This window comes from Homo sapiens, chromosome 8 (assembly GCF_000001405.40).
Source record: "Homo sapiens chromosome 8, GRCh38.p14 Primary Assembly".
Lineage (NCBI taxonomy): Eukaryota > Metazoa > Chordata > Mammalia > Primates > Hominidae > Homo > Homo sapiens.
The window spans coordinates 105,404,501-105,419,521 of NC_000008.11; the positions used below are offsets into that span (position 1 = coordinate 105,404,501).

Below are 15,021 nucleotides of genomic sequence, written 5' to 3' on the forward strand. Positions count from 1 at the left end.
CGTATGAATCTGAATTTTTCTTTATTTTTTTGTCAGTCTGTGCAGTTCTTAAGTACTTTTACCAAATTTAAGACAGCTCACTTCGAGTCATGTTAAATAGTCAATTAACTCTAACCTCCTCAGTGAAGGAACTTCTTTCCCAATTTTGCAACTTTCCCCAACATACATACACATACACTTTGAACTTTATTCTCCACTTCACATATTGCCTTTCAAAAGTTTGTGAAAGATTCAGTAGCTGTGTGTGGAATCCTGGTAGATTTCTTGAGAATATTTTAGATTCTGAACTCATTAACAGCTCATAAAAACATCAGATATACCTGCCCTTCCACTGTAACTCCCGATAACAGGCCACTTATTATATAAGTAAAAACAAATCCAAAAATACAGATAATGATTTCCAGAACCTAATTTAGAGCTGCCTCATTTGTGCCACAGTTAACCCTCCAAGAACCCTGCTAAGCATGATGAAATGGAATTCCCCCACAATTTATTCATGAGCCAAGTCTCCATATGACATATGAATAATTGGCAAGTGCAATGAGTAAAATAAATAGTGAAATTGATATCATATGTCTGTTCACACGTGGAAACAAGGCTTCATAGGAAATAATGCTATAGAATTAGAGTCAAGTTTTCTATTGGGGGATATGCCAGAACCCCAGGTAGGACAAGGGTGTTCCTGAGCAAAGTAGACATAAAATATGGAGGGAATAAAATGACCTCAGGGGTTTGCTGATGTGAGATAATGGTCCACTCTTTCTTTTTTTGATTTTTTTTAATTTTATTATTATTATACTTTAAGTTTTAGGGTACATGTGCACAACGTGCAGGTTTGTTACATATGTATACATGTGCCATGTTGGTGTGCTGCACCCATTAACTCGTCATTTAGCATTAGATGTATCTCCTAATGCTATCCCTCCCCCCTCCCCCACCCCACAACAGTCCCTGGTGTGTGATGTTCCCCTTCCTGTGTCCATGTGGTCTCATTGTTCAATTCCCACCTGTGAGTGAGAACATGCAGTCTTTGGTTTTTTGTCCTTGCAATAGTTTGCTGAGAATGATGGTTTCCAGCTTCATCCATGTCCCTACAAAGGACATGAACTCATCATTTTTTATGGCTGCATAGTATTCCATGGTGTATATGTGCCACATTTTCTTAATCCAGTCTATCATTGTTGGACATTTGGGTTGGTTCCAAGTCTTTGCTATTGTGTATAGTGCCGCAATAAACATATGTGTGCATGTGTCTTTATAACAGCATGATTTATAATCCTTTGGGTATATACCCAGTAATGGGATGGCTGGGTCAAATGGTATTTCTAGTTCTAGATCCCTGACGAATTGCCACACTGACTTCCACAATGGTTGAACTAGTTTACAGTCCCCACAACAGTGTAAAAGTGTTCCTATTTCTCCACATCCTCTCCAGCACCTGTTGTTTCCTGACTTTTTAATGATCGCCATTCTGACTGGTGTGAGATGGTATCTCATTGTGGTTTTGATTTGCATTTCTCTGATGGCCAGTGATGGTGAGCATTTTTTCATGTGTGTTTTGGCTGCATAAATGTCTTCTTTTGAGAAGTGTCTGTTCATATCCTTCACTCACTTTTTGATGGGGTTGTTTTTTTCTTGTAATTTTGTTTGAGTTCATTGTAGATTCTGGATATTAGCCCTTTGTCAGATGAGTAGGTTGCAAAAATTTTCTCCCATTCTGTAGGTTGCCTGTTCACTCTGATGGTAGTTTCTTTTGCTGTGCAGAAGCTCTTTAGTTTAATTAGATCCCAATTGTCAATTTTGGCTTTTGTTGCCATTGCTTTTGGTGTTTTAAACATGAAGTCCTTTAAACAAGCAATGGGGAAAGGATTCCCTATTTAATAAATGGTGCTGGGAAAACTGGCTAGCCAGCTGAAACTGGATCCCTTCCTTACACCTTATACAAAAATTAATTCAAGATGGATTAAAGACCTACATGTTAGACCTAAAACCATAAAATCCCTAGAAGAAAACCTAGGCATTACCATTCAGGATAATGGTCCACTCTTATTGTGACCCTCACACTCCTGAAGGAGGGTCATAACTCAGATCTGCTTCACTTGACCCTTCTCAGGTTTAGAAAACAAATTGGTGTGTCCCAATGTGGGATCTGTCTTAGAATAACCTGGATGGCAGACTGAAAGTGCTGATTCCTGGGTCCTATCCTAGAGCTGCTAAATTTTTGAGAGTGGCGCTTGAAAGGCTACATTTTAATCAAACTTTCGGCATGAATATATTACACACTATAAAGTTAATGTACATAGGGGAGGCCTAGAGGATACGACTAGGGATAAAGTAGTGAATGGCAGAGGCAATAGTAGGCACCATAATATTTTTCTAAAAATGCAGATGGAACCTGACTACATTTTCATAAAACTCTTCCATACGTTTTTGAGGCTTGAGCCAAACGTTGGCCTGACTGCAAGATAGAACAGTGGAATGAGGAAGGTGGTGTGGTATGATGTGCTGCTAGGCAACAGGTGAATGAGTATTTCCTTCCTTTTTGCTATCAGAAAGCATAGGGCCACAGCTGGGGGTTGTGGGGTGGGAATCAGATTAAATGCTCTAATTTTTTTTTTTTTTTTTGCATTTGCTGATAGGATTTACTTGTTTATATTTTTATAAGCCATGAGTAAAATATTTTAAGTGTATCAAAACAGGGGATGGGTGGTGAAAGAATGATTTTTTAAACAGTGGCAGGGAAATAATAACTGAACTAGAAAAAGATTATTCACACATAAAAACCAATATATTTTACTTCACGCTATTTACACTATGCTGGTTGTAGTTACTAGTGGCTCAATGGCAAATCAGAATTACAACAAAGAACAGTAACAGAAACAAACCAAAAGCAAACTAAAGAAAAGCATTAATTCATGTTTGAGGCAACTATTTGAAAATAGGAAAATGTTTAGTCATAGATCTATTCCAGTTAAATGTATTTGTCTGTCTCTGAGGTCTTAGAAACCATGGATTTAAGAGCAACATGAATTAAATGTCCAGGAAGGTGCGAAATCCCCCATACTTGTTGCCAATGCACTGAAGGTTAAGTAAGTCCTGACAAATCTAATATTCTGGAATTATCTTGAGGAAAGGGATGTGCATTTTTTTCAGTTCAAGTAAGAGAGGGCTATTGGTTGAGTAGCTGCTGATGAGAACCTTTCTGGGTCTTCATTAAGTAGAAGCTATTAAATTAACATTGAAATAAGAACTTTACAACTTTTCCCCTTCAACAGATTTGGTAAATGCATTTTGACTCTTACAGTTTAAGGGAGAAAATGAAATTCTGTTCAATTGGAAAAGAATCTACTAAGCCTGGTTTTCTTCCTGCATATGATGCCATATAGACACTTATGTCAGGAGTGCATAGGTATGTGTCTCAGGGAGGCTGGCGCAGAGTTTATGATACAAGTATTGGAGTACTGCGAGCTGCCAGAGGAGAGTTCATTTATGTGAGCTCTCCACCTTTTGGCTTACCCTATAACTTCTGCCTGTAAAGATGCTTGCTTTTATTCTATTGTAGGCTTTGTTATCAAAGGCAGGGGATATTTTCTTTTTAAGATAGCCCTTAGATGCTTCCTACAGGTTGCGATTGCTTGAGCAGGGTGGGCAAGCTAGTTTTGTTATCACACCCTACCCGCTCTCCTAATTCTCCAGAGAGTAAGTGTTCTTCTTAAAATTATAGCTATGTCGAGTGCCTCTGTGTCTTTAGACACTCTTTTAATGTGCTAGTATAAAGTAAAAGTCTTTTTGAAGATATGTTTTATAGGGAGGTGCTTTTGGGAGCCTCTTGAGATGTTCACTGGTACTGAATCGAGGTAGCTTTATGGTGGTTTAATGACAACATAGAACACTTGTAATAAAGTTCCGTGTTGATATGTGTCCTAGGGCATGTTATAATTAGAGCGGATTGAACATGTTGATTTTGTTTTCCCCTCTGCTCACATGGCCCCCTTCGTCTTGTTAGGGTTTTGCAACTGGAGATCTGTCGGAGGTTTTCTTCATCCCCTAAAGATGAAAGAGATCTCTCACAATGGAAATTTGGAAAATTACACATACACCTGTGAAATTAGCGAATTTGTATAAAGTTTGTATTCCAAACAATATGCGGGATCTACAACAATGCTTTGTTTTATGTGAGGATTTTTTTTTTCTGGCTGTGCAAAGAACAAGTGTGCAGGACTGTACAGGCTTAGCGAGAATATTCATCATTATTTACTGTGTCAAACCCACAAGGAGGGCCAAACTGGCAGTGTTCCAGGAGCAGGAGGCACACCTATTTGTGAAAAATGGAACAGATTTCTATCGTTGCCCTCACTTTGACTATTTGGTTCAAGGTGGTGGTGGTGCTAAGACATGTCATTTTGTTAGCCACGTATGTGGGTTAACAATGAAGGCTGGCTATGTTGCTGTCCTGTAAAATCCCACAGACTACACTTGGTTTGTGCATGAACCTGATTATAATAAGGTATTGGAGTGAGGAATGCTGAGCAGTGGAACATGTGTGTGATCTGGCCAGGACCTGTCCCCTCAATCTGATTGTCATTAATTGATTAGCGAGCTTTGCCTGGTTGGACAGAGTACCCTTGCTCATGTCTCAGGAAATGTTAGGCCCTCAAAAGAGGGGATGAAGAGAATGCTTTTGCTGTTGGAAGGTTTTGCTCTTCAGAAGACTCAAACAGCATGCCATAATTTTAAAAAATTGACATACTGTCCCCTAGCTTTGTTTTCATGTCATAGCCACACAGTGGAAGATTCTTTAGTAAAACAACATCCTGGTCAATTGTTTGCATTATCCAGGACTCTTGGCAGATATGTATAAGTAACATTTGAGATCAGCCTGAAGTGGCTACAGGTCTATTCTGTCCCAGAATCATCTGAAAGAATGTTGTTATTTGAGCATTTGCTGGACTCTCTGATGTTATTTGAAAGAACAATTAACCAGCACTAAATGAGTAAACCTAACCTGCCACTTATCAGGATTTGTCCAGGTGAAAGGCAGGTTGATTACAGATCATCAGTTGCAGTACACAAAGTGTCTCTCCATAATTGAGGAAAGGACTCTGTATAAACTGTAAATTATTGTACTCTTTGTATTAAATGACAATAGTGTAATAAATATAATTTATACTATTACAAAGTGACTTTGGGATAGCATTTGTATTCCAGCACAGTTGTTCTCAAACTTGAGCATACATCAGAATCACCTACAGGATTTGTTAAAACATGGATTGATGGCCCCATCCCACAGAGTTTCTGAAATCGGTAGATCTGGAGTAGGGTCCATTTCTAATTTGCCTTTCTAACAAGTTACCAGGTGATGCTATTATCAGGTGATGCTAATGCTGCTGGTCCAGGTACCAAACTTGGAGAACCCTGTGGGCTGATAAACTGCTTGTAATCAGCCAATGAAGCCAGGCATCATTTTGGAAGCAGTTATTTTATTAAAATTTCTTTTTGGAATGTTTTATCAATAATTAATTGCATAGGAAAAGAATCGCTTTAATAGGGCAGAATCAGAATGGGTATTCTAAAATGGAGGATTATAAAAGAGAAATTGACCTACTTGATGAAATGTGGGCTAGATACAAATTGTATTAATTTAGAAGAAAAAAGTTTACATATGCAATGACTAAAACCCGATGCTAAATTTTTTGTTGATTTTCTTCTCTAATTAAATGTTTCCCCCTCACATCTTTGTAGTGAATTGATTATCTTTTCTTCATTTCATTCATGTAACTGTATTGTTACACATGAAACAAAGAAACGTATGCTGAATGTTTTTAAGGACCACTCTTAATTCATCTTTGCCCTATGAAACGATTTAAGAAACTTGGTCGCCAAAGCCCTTTTTTAGTGTTGTTTGGCTACTGCTTCTGTTGTTGTTTTAATTTAACCTGTACCTTGTCTGATTCACTCTAGCAAAAGAAGGAAATATAAATCCATTCTGGAGTTAAAAGACTCCGTGCCCCATTTAAAACATCCTTTTATACCTATATTTAAAAATAACTTAGAAATCACTTCCTTTTTACTTGTACTAGCTTAACTTTGTTATATAAACATATAGGGTATTATACACTAATTTTTGATGTAAACGTATTTGATAGTTTTGCAGAATGCAGTTTGTTAGATAAGAATAGTAGCAATATTTTGATGGTGCTTTGAAATTTCTAAAGAAAAGTGTATATGTGGTATCTCATAGAAGTCTATAAAGTTATAGATTTTGATTAATTCATTTATGCCACATAATATATATAAGGAGTTCTGTGTTTAGGTTCAGATCCTTTCCTTTCTTACTCATAAGTGCTTTTAAAAAAATCTAACGTCCTACATTCATGCTTTTGATGTTTTTGTTGTGGTAGCATTTCTCACTTTGGGGAAAAAAAAATTGCTGCTTGTCTTATCTCACATCTTCAAGATGACTTCTAGCAGGGTGAGAGTACATTGAATAACCAGGAAAGGACCATGGATTTCACACTGTTTAGTGGGATAAACTTTCTCCAACGATAGTAAAAATAATAATAATTTGACACTGTGTCTAGATTTTTTTAAAATTTGCCCAGTATTCTCTCACTTTGATTTGGTCTCCAACTTTATTATAATTAACTTCAATTGAAAAATCCTTATTTTGGTAAATATTAAGTGCCTTGGCTAAATGCAAGGTAATATTCTTGCTGCTTTCAGTTGCAAATGTGGGTAAGATAGAATTATAACAAAGGAAGTAAGAAAAATGCATGGGTAGCTGGAATCTAGGATATTATATGAGAAGCCTTTCCTGCCCACCCTGCCACCAGTCTCATATCTTGTGAATAAAGTTTGTCTCCTTAACTGGATTATCCACTCACTTTGGGCTGGGGCCATCTTATCTTATACGTTGTTGTTATCTCAGTGCTTGTCACAGTGCCTACCATGTTTAGCATCCTCAGTAAATATTATTTAAGTGGATAATGAATAAGTTAATGAATAAATACATAAAACTCTCATAAAGAAAAGAGAATAAGCTAATATATAATGCCTTTCATCGTTCGTACTTATTTTCTGTTAGGAGCTTTTTATTATTGAAATATATCTCAATCATATAAAAATATATCATTTCAGTAATGAATATACTTTTGTATTTTTTTCTTGATAGGGTTACCATCTTCAATAGACTGAGATAACTTTATAGGACTCTGGACTGAGACCTGATTACAAAATATTTGAATTTCAATGCCATCTCTGTCACTAACTTCCTGGGTCAATGCACAAGGCATGTACTAATGAACTGAATTTTCTCAATGCCTGAGTTACTTCCTGAGAGTAAATTAGTCATTAGAGATTCTAGTTCAAATTTGCCTGTATTTCTTCCCCTGACTTTATTTTTCCTGTGATATCAGTGTTTAATCTACTGTGTAAGATTACTTGCTGCTTGCGAGGCTTGCACATGTTCTAAGAAAAATTGTTTTCTTGTTAGCATCATTCAGTTAATTTGAAGGTTCTCAAAGCAAGGCATTTCGGGGGGAATAATATTTACATAATTTAAATTGTTTTCAAGTTTATATACAAAAACTGTTAATACCACCATCTATAAAAATGGCCAAAGACTTTGTAGCAAAGAATATTACTCCATTTTTATAAGATTAAAGAGTACATTTTTTCTCCCTAAAGAAACAATTTGAATAAGACCTGACCCCTTCCCCTTCATTTTTCAATGGTGTGTGGTCAAATTGAATTCTCCATTAAAAATTCTCTAATATCTTTTTTTGCATTAACATTTCAAAACTCAATTTAAATATTCACAGATCTCGTTTTTAATAAACTTAACGAAATTCAGGTAATTTCCTTCAACTTTCTTGATTGAAGGACAGCAGTTGGTACAGATATAAAAAAGAGGTACAGCTATGAGCAAAAGCCCAAAATCAATTATATATAAGAAATAACATAACACATGGAAAGAAATTAATCAAAAAGAAGAATTTCTACCATATGATTCTCTGGTCTGCTACCTGCAGGCAACAAATGTAAATGAAAAAAAATCAACATTCTTCTGGCAGACAAGAGAAAAATTAATAAAAATGTTTCCTTCCTACTAGATCCCCTGATGCCACTATTGTTAAAAGTGAGTGACTGCAGGAAGAACTTGCTCATTTAAAATAGTATTTTTTTTTTAGACTACAGAAATAAGATTTTATTCTTGCTGTTAAGCTCAATTACATGAGTTAGTATGGGTTTGCACTGTCCAAAGAGTGTCCCTCTTCTCTGCCCCTTCTCATTAAATGGCTCTGTGGGATATGCATGAGACAAATGTAATAGGAACCGAGTGAGAAGCATTTTGAGGTGTGCCTACAGGGTAATGATTCATAAGAAAGTCTGTGTGTAGCAGCTGAGAACTCTGAGAGAGGAACTACTAAGAGCCACAAGATATGCCCCAGATAAAATTAGTAAAAACGTATTAGTAATTTCAAGCTAGAAACGTTCCTACTGCATAATTAAGAGAGGAGGGGAACGTTTTCCTGGGATTTAGCTTTTTAATTTAGAGTCGGGTTATTTTTTTCCCCAATACTAATTGAACAAACAGGATATATACGTACAGAACATATCATACTAAAATTTTCCTATTAGAAGAGCTTTATATTTTGTATTTTGTGAATGTTATCCTGAAATTAACAGAAATACAAGCCAAGAATACAGATTGTTAGGCAAGGAGTCATCCAATTTTAGTGTCAGTCCACTCCTTCCTTTTCATCACATAGAATATGTAGCAAGTTTAAAATGAAAAGTTATATTTTAACTCCTTTTACCTATCAACTAAAATAGAGTATACCTATGTAGAGTTTTGATATATTTGTGTATTTATATATTAATCATGAACCAGAATTTGTTTATCCCTTTTTTATATGTATATTTTGAAAGGTAGCATCATTTGACAAATGTGGCTCGATTATGATGTCACAATTCAAACATTATATATATATATATATATATATATACACACACACACGCACATATATATATATCTCGTGTTTAAATATATATGTATGTTTCTTCAATTGTATGATTTGGAGGTTCCTTTTGTTTTATATACATTGGAGATCTTTCTTTGCCTGTCCATTCCTTTGTGTGAGTTGGACCTTTTGAAAAAGAGTTCAAAAGAGCATAAAACAGGAGCTGGCAACTTGGGAGAACACCACCATTTTCATTTTCATTGATTAAGATCTTGAGAAATGTATCCCATTGACATAGATTCTTTGTTCTGTGCACAAGTAAAATGACATAAAGTTTGTGATGAAAATTTTAATTTTTAATATTAATAATGCTATCTGATATTAAAATGATCCAAAATGGGATACATTGGGAAGCTCTGGAATAAAAAGGTTTGGAAATATTTGTGTGTTTTCGGGGCAAATTCACCTAGTGGAATTTCTGTGCACACTGTGATGGATTATTGTAATTATTGGGAATGATAATATTTTAATGTGACTTTCATCCCACCTGTCAGTTGCAATCAAGGCTGCCCAGTATTCTGAAACAATCTCATTTTGCTAGGTGGCTAGTCTTGTGCAGCTTCTAGAATGCTTAGAATATTAATGCATGAAGAGGAGATTGAATGCTTTCTGTAGTTCCATAATGACAGAGTGTCTTGTTTTAATCAAAAGGCATGCAATATCAAGCTAAAGTAATGTATAATACATTAATGCCAATAACTGTTTAAGAGAGAAGATCCCTTTTGGGGGATATTATATCAGAACCATAGAAGTTGGCATTTCTTTCCCCTATTAATACATGATAATGTATATTAATTTTTGTAGAACTTAATTTCATCTTAGATGCTTCTTATTCTGAAGTGCTTTGAATTTACCTGAACAAAGACAATCTGACATTTAGGTGAGGATTGTTGTTCCATTTATAGTAGGCTACCAAAGTAGAAAGTTATTATTGAGACAATGTCTGTCGAAAGACATATGTATTTGACTTAATATTTACTATGTTGTTCTTTATCATTTCTTGCATTTTCTCATTGTTTTGCTTATTTTGCATCATTTTCATCCTTATTCCTCAGAATGCCTATATGTTTTCGCATCCCCCCCTTTTTTTTTTCTGAAATTTTCTTTGTCACCTTCTAGCTCTTACTCCAGTGGCTATGGATGCATTTCAGGGTTTTCTTTAGCCCCCTGAAATTGTAGCAATAATTTTCTTATAAATTCATTTATCTGGGGGACTAAGTGCTCCATTAACTGCTTCTTAACCATGCAAATCCACTTTTTAAAATTTCATTTTATTCAGCTATTACATTACCAGTGTATAGGGTTAGACTATTTAATCTTTAATGCCCCATTTGTCATTTACAAACTGCAGATCATTGAAACAACCACCAAATGAAAAATCATCCGATATACCCACCTTAGGCCCAGATTGCACAGCGCAGCTGTTGGTACTGACTAGATGAAAAGCTTCACTGTACATTGGGCTGTCCATCAGCATCGTCAGGTGTGGTGAATCTACACTTCCCTTCTTATCTTCCACTTTCTCTCCAGAGTGCAAAGGTAGCTGTGGCCAATTCAAATGGTCCTGAGTACACAATTGCCTCTCTTCTCTGAAAATGGAAGTACTCAGTACTACTTTGCACTCACCAGAATTTCCCAGTTATTCTCATTGTTCAACCAGTATAGAATATGAGAAGATGCTTACTCATTTATTCTGAGAGACAATGAACAGTGTTATGGGCCTAACATATAGCACCAGTGTGTTCATAGCTTGAGGATGTAAAACTAATCACTAGCATTTTTAAATGAGGTAAATATTCATATTTATAAACATTGAGACGATTAATTCTGGTGAGTGTGTTTGAATATCTATAAATCAGAAGCAATTGAAGAGCTGAAATTCAGATTTCCTCACACTTGCCTGCCAAGTGGCCTCAATCAGAAGTAATTTTCTCCATGAGGGCACATGGAGCTCGGTCGTGAGCCTTTTCTGAGTAGATATTATTATTTGTGTCAAATTATGTGTGGTGATTTTTCTGAAGTGGACTTCTGTGCCCACTAATCCATACACAGGAGTTTCCTTCATTCCCTCCTTCATTGGTGCTATTAATTGTACTTGTGCTTCAAGTGTCTCTTACCCTTTTAAAATGTTAGTTTATGGCCACCGATTATCTGTAAGGTTTTCCCTGTTAAAGAAACATGCAATGTAGAGAGTAGAGTGAGATCTGATCTTAAACCATAAATATTATGCATTTTAAAAGAAACCTTTTTCCCAAAGCCTGATTTGATGGTGTAGCTAAAGAAATGGTTAGTTATTTCACATTTTAAAGTACAGTAATTATATAAAGCTGACACTTGCTTTGGAAGAAATACAAGTTGGTCATCAAATGACCTTCCTATGGCCTGTTTTAAATATTGGCAATGAGATCTCATGTTCAAAAAATTTTGAACAAATGAGCTTAGTATTGTTCACCTTTTATTTGAATTTTGATAATTCATTTTTAAACATATAGGTGCTTCTTTTTAATTCCATGCTTGGAATTGCAAAGGAATAGCCAACATGTAAAATAAAACAACCCTGGAATAGATAATATTAAGATCTTATCAAAAACCTTGATAAATAAAAGATTATGTATATATAAATATACATATGTATCTGTATATATATAAAATTGCCATAACATGACTTTGACATTTAAGAATAAAAAAATGCTTTATGTGTACATTTTTCTTTCACATTTTCCCATGAGCATTTCAATATAATTTTTAATACAATGATTAAATTTAAATTGATATCATACTATTGAAGCCAATTTGTTGTCATTGAATATTTAAAACAATTATTCATTACGTATTATTCTTAGTAAAATCCTCTTCTAAAAAAGTACCTATGTCTAGAATTTCATTTTGTAAAAGGAAAGCATATATATTACTGTTAATTAAACATTGTATAATATGTATACATTCTTTTTATTATATACAGGCTTTTATAATTGAAGAGCATCCAGAAAAATAGACTTATTTTTATATTTTTCACATTTTATATATGAAAATATCTGTTGGAGCTTTACTTTTCATTAGTAAAACTCAGAGTATATATTCCAAAAGAAGTATATATTTCAAAAGAAGTATATATTGTAATTTCTGTTATAACTGCTATTAAAAGCTACTTTACATGTTGATTTAGTGTGGGTATAAATTATAAATTATGTAAATAAAAATAATAGTAATTATTTTATTTTTGATAAGTCTATAAGACTATCTTTCTGACTTTGGGGAGGTGTCTAATATTTTGGTTGACTTTCAGTAATTTGCGAAGAGCAGCAAGAGAGTTTTCCATTTTTAAAGACTAGATCATAAGCATCTATGAATAAATAATTATGTTAATATGAATTGACCATTTTCTAAGTTACCTATGTTTTATAGTTTTGTTTCTGAAGCAATGCATTTATAACTACCAAAGAGTGGTTTGCATAGTAGTATATTAATTAAAAGTATTTTTAAAATCTCTTGACTCATGCCTGTAGTCCCAGCTTCTCCAGAGGCTGAGGTGGGAGGATCACTTAAGCCCAGGAATTTGAAACTGCAGCAAGCTGTGATTGCACCTCTGCATGCCAGTGTGGGTAGCTGAGCCAGACCATTTCTCAAAAAATAATAATAATCTTAAATTTTCACATTAGCGTTTTCACTTATCAGTTGGAAACCTTATTCTAGTTAACTAACCTCGTGAACTTCATTTTTCAAATCTACAAAATGAAAATAGTCATAATTCTCATACTTACTTCACTGGATTATTTTAAAGATCATGTAAGAAAGTGCTTTGAATAGTATTTCATTTTGTATACATACCACAGTACATCCATGTAACACAACTGCACTTGTACCCCTTAAATTATACAAATAAAAAAATAGAAAGTGCTTTGAAACTCTTACATGAAACAAATGATATAGCTCATGTCTTCTTTTGATCAAATTTGTTGTTATAATTACATTTGTTGAAAAAAAATAAGGGAAATATTCTATTATAGTTCTCATTAGACTTAGCATTAATAATTTGTCTCTTGAAATTATCAAATAAATGGTTTAAGGATTGTAATATTTTACATTCTTACTGTTTTATATATTCTTTGCTTGTCTTGCTCTTTGACGTAATTATTCTAAAAGGTGAAAGATTATACATTTTAAACTTGAAACAGTTAATAAGATAAAATCTAATATGAGATGCATGACTTTTGAATGTGGTTGGTGCAAAAACAAAATCCATGGTTCTTTTAACCTTCTACCTTGAGCATATGGAATGTATAATAAAACACGATATGACCAGAGTTGGAATTAGGGCATCCTTTTCTTCTTAACATTTGCTCTTTTGAAAAAGGAAAGGTAAAACACATTTTTTTAAAGGACAAAGAGACTCTGTAAGAAATTTTTAGTTGGATGTCCCTTCATTTAAACCCATCCAATTATTCTGTCTATGCCAAGGTGTCATATGAATTTAGTCCTTTTACAACTTGCTTTTTGGGGAAACACTAGATACGATACTTATTCTTATTTATCTACATATATATATAAATTGTAGTATATGCACTATTTTAAATTATTTATAAGATTGCTCCTTAGGCCCTGGAAATTTCCTAGGACATTTCTAAAAAGTGAGAGTGAGAGGCTGCCTGAGCTTTGAGTATTTAGCCTGTCTGATGGGACTGCTGCCATGAGTGACAATTAGTACAAATTACCATAATTGTGTTCTTTGGATAAAATGCCACATCACTTCTTTAGGAGCAAATGCAGTTTCTACTTATTAAAATGAGTTGGTTACTTTGATTCTTTAGAGGCAGTCAGAAATTCACAATCAGCCCAGTGGTATTCCCATGTAGTCCACTTCAGATCGGTCTGAACAACTCCAGCCCTCCCTTTCCTTTCAATAAAATAGGTCCATTAATGTAGCGCACCTCACTCTCATTCTCTCCAAGGGAGTTGTATTTTTATTACTGAAAAAGTATCACATAAATACAAATTACATTTTTTCATTAGAAAACCACTTTTCATTTCAGAAAAAATTCAATTAATTATGAATAGGGTTATGCTTTCATCAGGGAGAGAAATATGTAATTTTTCTTCAAGCCTCAAACACATATAATGAAATCTTTTCTCAGAATCCACTCTTAAGATGGATTTTTAAAAGTATAGACTTTATTAAAATCTCAGTTCAATTAAAATGCATTCAATTACTTTAAATCTTTATTAAAATCTCAGGTAAAATTGTACAACAGTGTAAAAGAGACTTGTACTCTTTACCAGATAGTTAATTCTAACAAATGAACATAAAGTGCACAGTTTTGCTCTTAAAGAGCGAATCAAAAAAATAAGTTTGGGGCTTGAGGTTGGGGGTGGGGACGCAATGGAGATGCAGGTTGCTTTCTGTGTTATAACTTCTGACACTGGTTTCCTTGGATCTTTCATCATAGGTCATTGTTTCTTGTATATACGGATGTGGCATTATCTTTTGTGAGTCCCCTTGGTGGTACTACTTAGAGTATATTATTTTTCTCACCACTGTAACAAAAAAAGGCTCTATTTAAGGATTTTATTTCACTGTCTTCCTTGCATATTTTTGGTACAGTTTCCCTGATTCTTTTTCAAGGGCCGCTTGAAGATGCCATTGAAGATGAGGAAGAAGAATGTCCATCAGAGGAAACAGACATCATCTCCAAAGGAGACTTTCCATTGGAGGAAAGCTTTTCCACAGAATTTGGGCCTGAAAATCTGAGCTGCGAAGAAGTGGAATACTTTTGTAACAAAGGTAATTGTTGATGGTTGGATGTAATATGTGAGTCCACTTAAATGATTTTGTAATGTTTTAAAAAAATGCATAATAGTCCTCAGAGTGCTGACACATAATTCAGCCGTCTGAAAATAAGTGCAGATTTTTTTAAACATAAAATTTTATTTCGAGGGACATGAGTAACTCCACTCTAATAACCAGTAATTTTTTATATTGAAACAAATATTTTCATGTTGA

The 15,021-nt window shown here is 34.4% G+C and overlaps 1 protein-coding gene across 8 annotated transcripts in view; it reads left to right on the top strand.

Moving 5' to 3' along the window:
- Window positions 1-15,021, top strand: part of ZFPM2 (zinc finger protein, FOG family member 2) — a 486,102-nt gene that overhangs the window by 86,063 nt on the left and 385,018 nt on the right. For 5 of the 8 annotated variants that reach the window (NM_012082.4, XM_047421634.1, NM_001362837.2 and 2 more), the window contains exon 2: window positions 14,644-14,802. The exons of 1 other annotated variant lie outside the window; for it this stretch is intronic. In NM_012082.4, coding sequence (NP_036214.2) covers window positions 14,644-14,802 — 159 coding nt within the window. Of the gene's footprint in view, window positions 1-1,965; window positions 10,507-14,622; window positions 14,803-15,021 lie in introns of those variants that run through there. 2 more of the 8 variants (XM_047421630.1, XM_047421628.1) reach the window with 2 other exon arrangements.